We start from the raw sequence: 13,385 nt of genomic DNA, 5'->3' as shown, positions 1-13,385 counted from the left end.
GCTCTTTTTTAAAAAAATTCATTCAAATAATATTTTTTTGAGCAGTTAAGGAGATACAAAGGTGATTTAAAACATGGCCAGAGGTGAGGCAAATGCACAAGTAATAGAAAGCAAAGGGCAAGTTTCACTGAATCACAGCAGTCAGAGAAAGTGCTTTTGGGAACCAAATTGTTTCCAGCCTGAAGAGCCATGGTGGCAAATCCAAAAAGGGGATTGAGATTAAAATAGAAGACTTCAGTCTGGATTGTTGGTGACACTCAGTATGGACTATATTTGTCTCTCCTTTTCCTGTCTCCCCATCTTTGGGCTTAATTTACCAGTAGTGCCCAGGACTGTTCCATGTGCTTTTTCTATACTTGCTTGCATTTTTGTTTTAATGTCTTCTACAGAACGAGGTCCTTTGGGTGTTTTAGGAGTCTTTTCCTGTTTTTTAAAGGATTCTTGTCCTTTTGATCTTGGTGTTGATGATGGTTTTGAGACTTTTCCATTCTGATCTGACTTTTGTGCATTTCTGGCTGGAGTGTCTTGTATAGATTTCTTCACTGGCGCTTCTTCAGTTTCCTCATCATCAAAATCATCTTCTTCATCATCATCATCATCATCTTCATCAGCAGCAAGTTTTACTTCTTTTCTGTGGAATCTTGCTACCACTTCCAGGGGCAGACTGCTTTCCAGATGTACTTAAGAGTTTCACATCCTCCTCCTCTTCACCTTCTGACTCTGCATCTTCCTCCACAGCTACTAAGTGCTGTCCACTAGCATGCACTGGCCCTGAACCACACTTCAACCATAAGGCCACTAGTGGTGTTATTTCAAAGCCCCCAAGGGAAACCATTGGTTGTGCAGACATTTTCAAAGTTGCCAGTGTGACTTTAATTGGACTGCCTTTGTAATTCATGGCCTCTGCTTCAACAATGTGCAATTCATCCTTTGCTCCAGCCCCTTAACTGACTGTTCTTAAAGATAACTGGTCTCATCTTCATCATTATCCGCCTTAAAATGATCATCTTTGTTGGCCTTTAGTTCACAACTGAAAAGATAGTTCTGGGACCTCAGTGGGCTCATGTCCATGTCCATCAAATCTTCCATCAGGTGGTGCCACGCACTTAGGTGGGAGAGAAGGCAGATGGAGATAAACGACCACTGCTGGAGAGAACAGCTGCACAGGACAGAGTCACACCAGGGTGGCTCTATTTTTATAATCAGAAAGTTATAAAATAATTTTCAAATATGTTATACCAGACTGTGACTTGTTTTTTCATTCTCTTAACAGTGTCTTTTGGAGAATAGAAGTTCTTAATTTTGATAAAGTTGAATCCATCAATTTTTTAAAAAGATCTGTGCTTTTGTTGTTCCATCTAAGAAATACGTAGCAAACCCAAAGTCACAAATATTTTTCTTCTTTGTTTCTTCTGGAAGTTTTATAGTTTTAGATTTTGCACTTAGGCCTATGATCCATTTTAAGTTAATTTTTGCGTATGGTGCAAAGTATGGTTCTCTCTCTCTTTTTTTTTTTTTTTTTTTTTTTGCAGATGGATAGCCAATTGTGCTAGGACCATTTGTTGAAAATATGATCTTGCTCCATTAAATCATCTTGTCACCTTTGTTAAAAATAAATTGATCAAGGCCGGGTGCGGTGGCTCATGCCTGTAATCCCAGCACTTTGGGAGGCTGAGGCTGGTGGATCATTTGGGGTCAGGAGTTCGAGACCAGCCTGGCCAACATAGTGAAACCCTATCTCTACTAAAAATACAAAAACTTGGCCAGGCGTGGTGGGTCATGCCTGTAATCCCAGCAATTTGAGAGGCCGAGGCAGGTGGATCACCTGAGGTCAGGAGTTCAAGACCAGCTTGGCCAACCTGGTGAAACCCTGTCTCTGCTAAAAATACAAAAATTAGCTGGGCATGGTGGCAGGCGCCTGTAATCCCAGCTACTCAGGAGGTTGAGGCAGGAGGATGAACCCAGGAGGATGAACCCAGGAGGCGGAGGTTGCAGTGAGCCGAGATGGCACCATTGCCCTCCAGCCTGGGTGACAGAGCGAGACCCTGTCTCAAAAAAAAAAAAAAAAAAAAAAAAAAATATATATATATATATATATATATATATATATACAAAAAATTAGCCAGGCATGGTGGTGGTGTACACCTGTAGTCCCAGCTACTTGGGAGGCTGAGGCAGGAGAATCACTTGAACCTGGGAGGCAGAAGTTGTAGTGTGCCAAGATGGCACCACTGCACTCCAGTATGGGCAACAGAGTGAGACTCTGTCTCAAAATAATAATAAAAGAAAATAAATTGATCATATATGTATGGGTCCATTGCTGGACTTTCTATTCTGCAAATCTATTTGTCTGTCTTGATTACTGTAGCTTTATAAATCAGGTAGTATAAGTCTTCCAAACTTCTTCTTTTTCAGAGTCTTTTGGCTCTTCTAGGTCCTTTTTCTCGCCACATAAATTTTAGAATCAGCTTATTGACTTCCACGTAAAATCCTGCTGGATTCTGACTGGGATTGCACTGATATAGATCAATTCTGGAGAGAATTGACATTTTCACAATATTGATTTTTTTATTAATAAACCACAGTATATCTTTCCATTTCTTACTTAATTCCGCTCAGCAATATATTTTACTTTTCCAGTGTACCCAGTCTTACACATCTTTTTTCAGATTTATTCCTATTTAATAGTGTTTGATGCTATTATAAATGTTTTTACAAGTAATTTTGGATTGACTAGCAGTTTATACATTTTATCGATTTTTCTCAGAGAATAAGCTTTTAGTTTCATTCATTTGATTTATTGTTAGTCTGTTTTCTATTTCATTGATTTCTGCTCTGTTCTTCAATGTTTGTTTTCTACTTATTTGGGGGATTATTTGCTTTTCTTTTTCTAGTTTTGTCAGGTAGAAGTTTTGATCATTGATTTGAAACCTTTCTTTTTTCTAATAAAAAGATTCTGTGGTATAAATTTCCCTCTAACTACTGTTTTAGCTGCAAACTACAATTATTTATTTTATTTATTTATTTATTTATGTATTTATTTGAGATGAAGTCTCACTCTGTTGCCCAGGCTGGAGTGCAATGGCACGATCTCATCTCACTGCAACCTCCACCTCCCAGGTTCAAGCGATTCTCCTGCCTCAGCCTCCTAAGTAGCTGGGATTACAGGTGCATGCTACCACACCTGGCTAATTTTTGTACTTTTAGTAGAGATGTGGTTTCACCATGTTGGCCAGGCTGGTCTCAGACTCCTGCCCTCAAGTGATCTGCCTACCTTGGCTTCCCAAAGTGCTGGGATTATAGGCATGAGCCACCGTGCCTGGCTACAACCTACAAATTTTGATATGCTGTGTTTTGCTTTTATTTTCATTCTGCCCAAAATATTTCTTGGCGTGTGGTGGTGGTGGGGGTAGAAAGCCATGAAAAGGCCTCCCTCCTGCAACCCTGCGCCTGCACCCCGGACTGCCCCCTCCTCTGCAGGGCCCCCACTTTCTCCTTCCTTTCCCTGCAGCTGGATGCTGGGGCTTTGGCAGCAACCCTGCCGGCCCAGGCTGGATCTGGAGACTACAGAACTACAGGGTGATCCTGGCTGGGAATGTGTATGGTGAGGGCCTTTCAGAAGATGGGGCTCAAGTGGGACTTTCAGGAATGTGCAGACACTGTAGTCACTCAGGGGCTCCAAGCTTCCAGAACTGGGATGTCAGCAGGCTTCGTGAAAATGATTCTAGTGGTCTTCTTGCTTTGCAAGGCAGAGGATCTGATGGGGCCCCATCTTAGTCCACTTGGGCTGCTGTAACAAATGAGTGGCTTATAAACAACAAAAATTTATTCCTCACATTTCTGGAGGCTGGAAGTCTGAGGTCAAGTGTCAGCATAGCCAGGTTTTGGTGGCGACTCTTTTCCCAGTTGCAGATGGCTGTCTCTCACTGTATCCTCATGTGGTGGAAAGCAGAGAGCTTGCTCTCTTCCTCTTCTTATAAGGATGCTCATCCCATCATAGCGATCCACCCTCATGACCTAATTACCTCCTGAAGGCGCCACCTCCTAATACCATCCTATGATGGCTTGGTGTGTCAACATACGAATTTTGAGGGACACAAACATGTGCACCGCAGGCCAGTTGGCCATTGTGTCTGTCATTTGCCTATGTATCCTCAGACACATTCCTTGCCCTTTGTCTGATCTGCTCTGCCCTGCCCTGCCCTACAGGGATGATGGCCCTTGCAGCCTCTGTTTCTCGGGCTCTTATTTCAGCTGGCTTCCATCTGAGTTCAGCCAGTGGGGCCACTGGAGGGAGTTCACAAGCTAGAAGGAAGGGAGAAGCCAGGGAATTTGTCTCCCTTTCTCTGCCTTGGGTGGGCTCTCCAGAAGCAGCTGTCTCCTCTGTGGCTCCAGCTTCCCCAGGCCGCCTTCCACAATCACAGATTCTGCTAGGCAGCCCCCTCACCACTGTGGTTTTAGCTCTTTCCACATGGTTCTGGCTTCTGGGCTCTGGTAACACCTAACACTACCTCCTCCTATTTTCTCCCTATCCCTTATTGGTATTGCTAATCTCTGGGGTGCCTCATCATACCATTGGCATCTTGGTTCTTCCATCATTCATGTAACCTATTCCCTGTATCAACAGCCTCCCCCACCACACACACACACACACACACACACACACACACACACACACACACACAATTTGGAATACGCTGAATTGTCCTAACTGGCTCCAACTGATAGATTCATCATCCAAAATGGAATACCCCCTTTGGCTAGAGTTTTAGGAAAAGATCCCCAAGAGGTGGCAGGCCTCCTTTATGGCTCAGCCACACATCTGCAGTCCAAGTTCAAGGTATTATCAAGTTCAGGGATGCCACATTGTCCCACTTCAAGGGGCACCATTCATATAGAATTGAAGCCCTTCTCTGGGTAGCAGGATTGCTTTCACTTAATATACTGGCAAGATGCAAGGCAGATTTTAGTAGGAAGAATCACTTGGGGCCGGGCACGGTGGCTCATGCCTGTAATCCCAGCACTTTGGGAGGCCAAGGTGGGCAGATCACCTGAGGTCAGGAGTTCGAGACTAGCCTGGCCAACATGGTGAAACCCTGTCTATACTAAAAATACAAAAATTAGCCAGGTGTGGTGGCAGGTGCCTGTAATCCCAGCTACTCAGGAGGCTGAGGCTGGAGAATCACTTGAACCCAGGAGGTGGAGGTTGCAGTGAGCCAAGATGGCGCTGCTACACTCCAGCCTGGGGGACAAGAGTGAAACTCCGTCTCAAAAAAGAAAACAACAAAATCACTTGGGGCCTCTGTCTTTCGGGGAATGAGATGTGTCTTGAGCATCTGTTTTTGTTTTGTCCTCCCAATGCTTCCACAGTATACCCCACACTTTGGGAGCTGCTCCTCTCCTCCTCCATGTGGTTCTGATGAATCCATCAATTACCAAAGCTCCTTCTCCAGCAGAGGTAAACAGATGACCCAGGCTTGACCAATCGATGTATCCAATGAAACACTGATTTACCCAGAGGATGGGCATGTGATCCCAGAGAGCCATCCAGCATCCTGTCCTGGGATTGAGAAACTATGCAAAGGGTCCTTTCTCTCACCAGGGTTGCCAAGATCTCTGGTTTCTGTTCACCTTGTTTTCTTCCCACCCACCAATGTGGAGGAGATCTATCTTCAATAGGAGACATTGAGGCCATCACACAGGGAATCTCAGAGTTGAGACAGAAGGAAGAAGACAGAGAGAATCCCAGAGGCACTGGGTCCCCAGCTCCCATCCTGATTCCTGAAGCTCTTTCTTTAATTTTACAAATACCAGAGTGTTCCTTCCAGCCATGAGCGCCAATAAATTCCTTTTGTGCTTAAGTTGGTTTGCACAGGATTTCTGTCACTAACATGGTAGACACAGGGCTCTCTGAATTCCTTACCAGGAAAGTGAGACTTTAGGACAACCCCTCCATTCGTCTCACAGAGAAACTAATGCCAAGAGAAGGGAGTGCATCAGTCAGTAGGTTTCTAGCTACAAATAGTAGAAAACCCAATTAAAGTGGCTTAAGAATGATTCTATCACAGGAAGTTCACAGGTAGTGTGGCTCCAGGGTTGGCTAATTCAGGGGTGAAGGTGTCATAAGGAGTAGATAGTTTTCTTCTTTCCACTCTGGAGTTCTTGGGAGCTTATCTTGACATCCTAGACTGGCTCCCTTCAATAGGTCCAAGGTGGCTTGTTCTGTCTGGGTTATGGACAACAACCACTTAGGGCAGAAATGGGAATGTCCCTGTCTGATGTCCTAGAAGCCTCTGGAGAGTTTTATGTTTCATTGGCCAAGATGGTGTCACATGCTCATTCCTAAACCAGGCACTGACGGGGGGATGAGACCACCATGGTTGGCTTAGAGCAATCATGGTTCATCCCCTGGAGTTGGGGTCTGCTCTCTTTGAATCTCATGGCTGCTTGGAGAAGAGTAAACTAAATCAGGAGTCTGTTAAAAAAAAAAAAAAAAAGGAAGAAGGCGAGGCACAGTGGTTCATACCTGTAATCCCAGCATTACGGGAAGCTGAGGTAGGAGGATCCCTTGGGCCCAGGAGTTCAAGACCAGCCTGGACAACATAATGAGACTCCATCTCTACAAAATATAAAAAAGTAGCTGGGTGTGATGGTGCATGCCTTAGTCTCAGCTACTTGGGAGGCTGACGTGGGAGGATCACTTGAGCCTGGGAGGTTGAGGCTGCAGCATCACTGCACTCCAGCCTGAGGAACAGAGAGAGATTTTGTCTCAAAAAAAAAATAAAATAAAATAAAAAAAGAAGAGGCAAATGGCTGTTGGGTAGGGTAGTTGAGACAGCTAGCTGTCCCCTCATATCTAGTCACCCTTTCTTCCACAGTAATAGAAATTTCAGCTGGGCATTTGGCCACCCAGAATAAAGATGACATTTTCTAGCCTCCTCTTATGGTTTGGCTATGTCCCCACCCAAAATCTCATCTTGAATTGTAATCCCCATAATCCCCATAATCGCCACGTGTCAAGGGTGGGACCAGGTGGAGTCAATTGGATCATGGGGGCAGTTTCTCCCACGCTGTTCTTGTGATAGTGAGTGAGTCTCCCAAGATCTGATGATGAACATGTAAGCATCTGGCATTTCCCCTGCTTGCACTCACTCTGTCCTGCCGCCTGTGAAGAAGGTGCCTGCTTCTCCTTTGCCTTCTGCCATGATTGTAAGTTTCCTGAGGCCTCCCCAGCAGTGCGGAACTGTGAGTCAATTACCCTTTAAAAATCTTTTATTTATAAATTACCCAGTCTTGGGTGTTTCTTCATAGCAGTGTGAGAATGGACCAATACACCTCCTTTGCAGCTGAACGTGGCCATGTGACTAAGTTCTGGCTAATGGGAAGCTTGCAGAACTTTCACACAGTGGCTTCCAGGAATCTTCTTGAAGAGGGCTCTGACATGAACCTTCTAAACAGGACAGGGGCTGAAACGCATCTTCTCTATGTGGTTTGTTCCCACCTTCACCTCACACTGAAGCTCATCCCCTGTGGCTGGCCCGGGTAGTAGAGTCCAAGGTAGAGGAGGTGGGGAGGGGCTCTGTGGCAGACCCTGGGGCTGAGTCCCCAAAGGTAGCCCCCTTTCTCCCTGCCCAGCAGTGAGTTGGGTTTGTCTGGCCATCAATCATCACTCCCCTTGGTGGGTGAGGGCAGGTTCTGCCAATGCCTGCCTGTTCGCTGGTCCTTCTCAGGGAGGGACACCCTGGCCCCCTTCTGCCTCTGGGGGCTTTTCTTCCACAGCCCAGCAGGCTAGGAGCGCTGGAGAACACTCCCTGCTGGGAACGGTCCCCAACCGGCAACCATGGGTTTGCTGTGTAAATATCGCAGTTCCCTCAGAAGCACGTGTCCAGTTGCCCACAGTGGTAACCAGCTTGATAACACTCCTCACTCCCCTACTGGTGTTTCCTGGAACCCCCTCGTAAGCAAATTATTTGCACTTCAATTCTTGTCTAGAGTCAGCTTCTGGAGGAGTCCAACCTAAGAAGGAATATGATCCAGTGTGGGCAAAGATGTAAGTAGAAGCCTGTTGGGGCTTCTGGAAATCGTTCCCTCCCTGCTCTGGTAAAAGGTGAGGGAGGAGAAGTCCCCCTTTTCCATCTGCCTTTTTTTTTTTTTTTTTTTTTTTTTTTTGAGACAGAGTCTCGCTTGTTGCCCAGGCTGGAGTACAGTGGTGTGATCTCGGCTCACTGCAACCTCCGCCGGGTTCAAGGGAGTCTTGTACCTCAGCATCCCAAGTAGCTGGGATTACAGGCATGCACCACCATGCCCAGCTAATTTTTTGTATTTTTAGTAGAGACGGGGTTTCGCCATGTTGCCTAGGCTGGTCTTGAACTCCTGAGCTCAGGCAATCCACCTGCCTCAGCCTCCCAAAGTGCTAGGATTACAGGCATGAGCCACTGCACCCAGCCCACCTGCCCTTTTTGTTCTCGAGGGATGCCATGTGTAAAGACACAACGCTTGGGGCTGTAGTAGCCATTTTGTGACTAGGAGGGGAGCCATGGACAACATTCTGGGCATGATGGAGCAGGAGGTTGGAAGCCAGGATCCTTGATGGTGTCTTGGAGTTTCCTGATCAGCTCAGGGCTCACCCACTTCCGCATTTCTAGTTAAGGAGACAATAAATGTCCTTACAGTTGAGGCCATATTTATTTGGGTTCTTTGCTGCTTGCTGCCGAACACATCAATATTGATACAAGCTTTGTCCCAGAGGTGTTACCTTTGAAATCAGGTCCTCCCACTACTACCTTGAGCCCTTGGGGTAGAGCGGGAGGCAGAGGGGGGCACAGGCTTGAACTCCACAGGTGGCTGAGGGCCAGGGGTCCTGGACGGGAGAGGAACATGGGGGAAGCTAGTGTCTGGGGTCCCAAGAATAGGGGATGGGGAGGGCAAGAAAGTCAGTCCTCCATTAATCCGGGCCAAGAGGACCATTGTTATTGTTATTAGCACGAAGCATCTCGAGGCTCACACTCGTCCTGGCCTGGCTGGGCCCCCCTAATGGTCCCATAAATCCCAGCCATAAAGAGTAATGGGGGGAGACAAATGAGATAATTAGGAATAAATCTCAGCGCAGTCTCTATTCATCAGCGTCCCTAGAACTGGCCAATCTTCCGAGCCATTAGCCAGGTCCTAATTAATGCTGAGCTGCCCAGCTCTGCGGAGGCTCCATGCCTGGGAGGGATCCGGGCTAAGGGGCACCACTGCCCCCACAGCCCACAGCGGGCGACCTTGGGAGGGGCCGGGGGCTGTGTGCCTTCAGCCTGCTGCTTCACCTTTCCGTCTCCAAGGGCCTTAGTTTGTCCGCACCCTCCTGTCTGCCTCCTTGTCTCTGTCTCCTTTTGTTCATCTTACTCCATCTCCCCGACTACCTTCAATCCCGTGTTTCTCTCTTATCAGATGGCCGCAGTCTATGTTGTTAGCTATGGAAGATCTGAGTTAGAAGGAATTGTGGGACCACCTGTAAAAACTCTCCACCATCTGTCCTTTCTGCCGCCCTGTCAGTACCTGGGCAGGGACCTAATCTACACTGGCTCCCCCAGAACAGTCCTTGGAACAGGGATGACCCCAGCCCTGCCCCCTGCTGTGGCTGTCCATCTTTCCTGGGGCAGTTCTTGCTAGCAGAGTATTCTCTCATTCCTGGAGCTGGGAATGCTCTTTCTGTTATGTCTGCTTCTCGGTCTTACCCCTACCTGCTGGAGGCTGAACATAAGCCGCACTCTACTCAAGCTCCAGGTACTTGAAGGCCATTCTTGCCTTCTCTTCTCCAGCCAAATGTGCTGAGCTGCACTCGACAACTTGAGGTTTCCAGCTGGGTCTCCTCTACTCAGGGACTTCTCTGTACCACCCGTGGTAGTCTGACCCCACGGTAACTTCTGTTGTTTTAATCTGTTAGCTTTCCCCTCGTTTTTCTTATAACACCCCTACCTCTTTGGGAGGTTTCCCTTCCTTGATTCTATCAGGGTCTGGAGGGGTGGCCAAGTAGCCCACTCTCCCAGGCCACAGAGGCAGCACACGATGAGGCCTGGCCAGCCACAGCCCTCCGTCCCCTGGCACCGTGATTGGCTCAGGGATGAGCCTGCTGATGTGCGGGGCCAATCAGAGTGCCTCCCTGGCCTTTGCTATGTGGCCCCAAGGCAGTAGAACTGAGACGGTGCCAGGTGGACCGTGTGTCTACCCCTTCCCACTCCACATGTATCTGTCTGCAGTAGGAGGAAATGTGCCCCGCACCCAGAAAGAAGCAGACCCGGAGATGGCAGGGATTGTGAACTGGACGGTGGCTACGGCCTGGGGGAAAGCGGTGAAACCAGGTGAGAGGCGAGGAAGGGCTGGGAGATGGCTTTTCTCCAGAGGAGGCTGAGGTGATGAAAGGGCTGTGACTGCGGCTGCCATCCCATACCGTGTGTCCTCACCAGCCTAGGAAAGTCAGAGCACAGAGGAGCATCTGCACAGAGATGACAAGGGACCGGCTCTGTGAGCTCTGTCCCCATGACTCGCTACTCCCCCACTGTGGCCTGAGCCTCCTGTCCCTGCTTCTCCCTCACCTCTCTTTGCCCAGGGCCAGCCCCAAGGACGACTAAGCTGTTTTCCAGCTCGGTCAACAAGTGGAGTCCCGCTGCCCCCTGCTCAGCCCTGGGATTGTGTGCAGCAGTTGGCCTGAAAACCCCAGAGACCAGCCCCAGCCCCCACAACCGGACCATCACCCTGGGGAGCAGGTGAAGCTGTTGAGGGTGATGGCACGGGGCAGGGATGGACCTGCTCAGCCCAGTGTCAGAACTGCTTAGCGGTGTTCTGTCCTGGCAGCTCTGGAGCCATGGAGGCCATGGGGCCTGAAGCTCAGTTTGCCCCGCTCTGAGTATGAGAACAGGCTATGCCAGTTAAAGTTCCAAATACAGGGAGAAGCTGATGGAGACTATGGAGGCAGAGGGGTCCGGCTGATTGCCCTCCCCTCACAAACCACCCCCTGGTTCAGCTACTTGCTCTGCCGTGGGGCCACCCCTCTTAGGTTTGGCGCACAAGATCACTGAGTGGTCATGGACAGTACTAGCCACAGATGGCTAAACTTGGCCTCACCACCTTCTCTCCCACAAGCAGGGGGTGCTTGCCTTGGTTTAGACAACCCAGGGGGCGGGGTGGCCTCTTAAGATGTCTCCCAGGCAAAAGTGGCCTGATCTGCTGCTCCAAAGATGAAAGAAGACTGGAGAGAGGCAGGTGTTCCCTGGACACTGTGGCTGCAGTCTACCCACTCTTCCGTCGTACACACAGGCTTGGGGAGGAAAGGGCCTCTTTCCCGGGGCCCACAGCACAGCCAGGCCTAAAACTGTCTCCTGGCTCAGCCCAGCCGTTGGAAAGCAGAGCCTGGGAGCCTGTGGTAGACCATGAGGAGAGGGAAGGGCCCAGAGCCAGGGCTTTTGCCATTTGCTGCCCGGCAGGGATCAGGGCCACCTGGGCAAAGACAGGGAGGTGAGGAAGGCAGGGCAGGTGTGGGACGAAGCTTGAATGGATAGGCATGAGTCTCCACAGCCCAGCCTCAGGCTGGCCAGGGGTGGCGGCGGCTGCAGGCTGTGAAATGTGTGAGTGTGTGTCCGTGTGTGGGTAGATGTGGTGTGAGTGTGTGTGTGGTGCGGGTGATGGAATGCATGAGCCTGCGGAATGTATGTGAGTACGTGACTGTATGGAAAGTCTGTGTGAGTGTATGTGTGTGTGCATACAGGTGTGAAGTGTGTGTGTGTGTGAGTGTGTGAGTGTGTGTGTGTGTGTGTGTGTGTGTGTGTGCTGGGGGGCTGGCTAAATCCTTCCCCTGTCCCGCCCCAACCCAGCTTAGCCTCTAGGGTTTCAGCCACTGTCCTAAAGAAAACAGCCTGGAGCCTGCAGCAGGAAATCGCTGTTTGGATTGCAGAGGCGCCTCTTCCTGCCACAGCCCTGCGGAGCAGGGAGGGCCAGGAGCAGGCCTTCCTGCCCACCTGGACCAGATATCGAGCTGGTCAGGAGCCCCTTCACCCCCTGATCTGGCCTCCCTAACGCCCTTCAGACCCCAGCCTTGAGGACTGAATGGGAAACCCTCCCACCGTTGTCTCTCGAGGGCAGTGGGAGAAGTGGATGCCCCCGAGGCTGAGTGAGCCGAGGCTGGAACACCCTCACAGAGGAAAGCCAGGCAGTCCTGTCAATGGTAGGTCCAGCAATCCCACATTCACGAACATTCTGCCGATACAGCTCATTCATGCAAAAGGGTGTGCCTCGCTCAGCCTGGTTTGTACCAAAGCGCTTGAGAGCGGATTAAGCAGAGCTGGGGGTCCCTGGACTGTGGCGCATCCATCCAGGGCAACTCAGCCAGCTCTCCATGTGCTGGGAAGGAAGCTCCCCAAGACATGGCCAGGTGGGAAAAACAGGGTACAGTGCAGTGTGTACAGGATCCTCACATCTTCGTAAAAAAAGAAAACACATACATGTAAATGCTTGTGTGTGCACAGATCAGACTTTCAAACCTTCCGTACCTTGGGCAGGCAATAACTAAGAAAATATATAAAAATACGCACAAATAGATACATGAGTGCTGGGGGTGCCTCGGGGACCCTCTACCGGCTTGATTGTGAGACCCCAGGCAGGTCCCTTCCTCTCTGTGTCCTGAATTTCTTGTGTGCTCTCAGAGGTCAGAAAACCTTGAAGCTGGTGAAGTGAGGCGTGTGTGCGTGGAGATGGAGTGGGGAGGGGGTGGGGGGCTAGTTTGCGTTGCCTGTTAGAACCTCCTCCTCCTGCTGCAATGAAACCCACTCCCAAGGCCATAGGCTGCTCCCTCCTGTGACATTCCTTAAGAGAGTTTGGATTTCATCTGGCCCTTTTCCCCAGTCCCCACTCCTTCCTTCCAGAATCCCTCGGAACCACTCCAAGCCTTCATTCCTGGAAGCAGTGCCCACTAATACCCCTGCAGCCCCCGTCTCAAGGCCTTCATCAGCTGAGTGTTCTCCAAGTTGCCCCAACTGTCCCAGAGCCTCTCATGCCCCCTGGACCTCTCCTGGCCTCCTCCAGGTCCAGGATATGTGTGGGGGGTGCTGGTCCAGCTGCCCCCAGTGCGGCCCTGCGATCCTCACAGCCGCCATTGCTTCTCAGGCCCTTCCCTCTGCACTCCAAGGCCGCCCCACAGATGGCCGTAGGGGCCCATGCAGTCCTGACAAGGCTTCCTTCTTTCTCAGACGCCTGGCAATAGGGGGATGCCTGAGGCTGGGTGTGTGACCCCCACTGGGCCTCCAGTGAAGCCCAGGGGCAAGTCTGGGCTGCCCCAGGCCTGGAGTAGCCCCCTCCCAGGCACCCCTCTGGCACTGTCATGGGCATCACCTATGCCTTGGAGCGACTTC

The 13,385-nt window shown here is 49.8% G+C and overlaps 1 pseudogene, besides 1 other annotated feature; it reads right to left on the bottom strand.

Moving 5' to 3' along the window:
• Positions 1-139: 139 nt before the first annotated feature.
• On the bottom strand, positions 140-1,185 carry NPM1P51 (nucleophosmin 1 pseudogene 51; annotated as a pseudogene).
• Positions 9,966-10,580: an enhancer, noted in NCBI's record as "H3K4me1 hESC enhancer chr6:41625153-41625767 (GRCh37/hg19 assembly coordinates)". NCBI's record gives its function as "activates a minimal SCP1, AML or CMV promoter by ChIP-STARR-seq in primed H9 embryonic stem cells {active_cell/tissue: H9 hESC(primed)}" and the evidence as "EXISTENCE:reporter gene assay evidence [ECO:0000049][PMID:30033119]".

The sequence above is a fragment of the Homo sapiens genome, chromosome 6 (genome assembly GCF_000001405.40).
Source record: "Homo sapiens chromosome 6, GRCh38.p14 Primary Assembly".
NCBI classification, from domain to species: Eukaryota; Metazoa; Chordata; class Mammalia; order Primates; family Hominidae; genus Homo; species Homo sapiens.
This window is presented reverse-complemented; position numbering and strand designations above follow the sequence as displayed.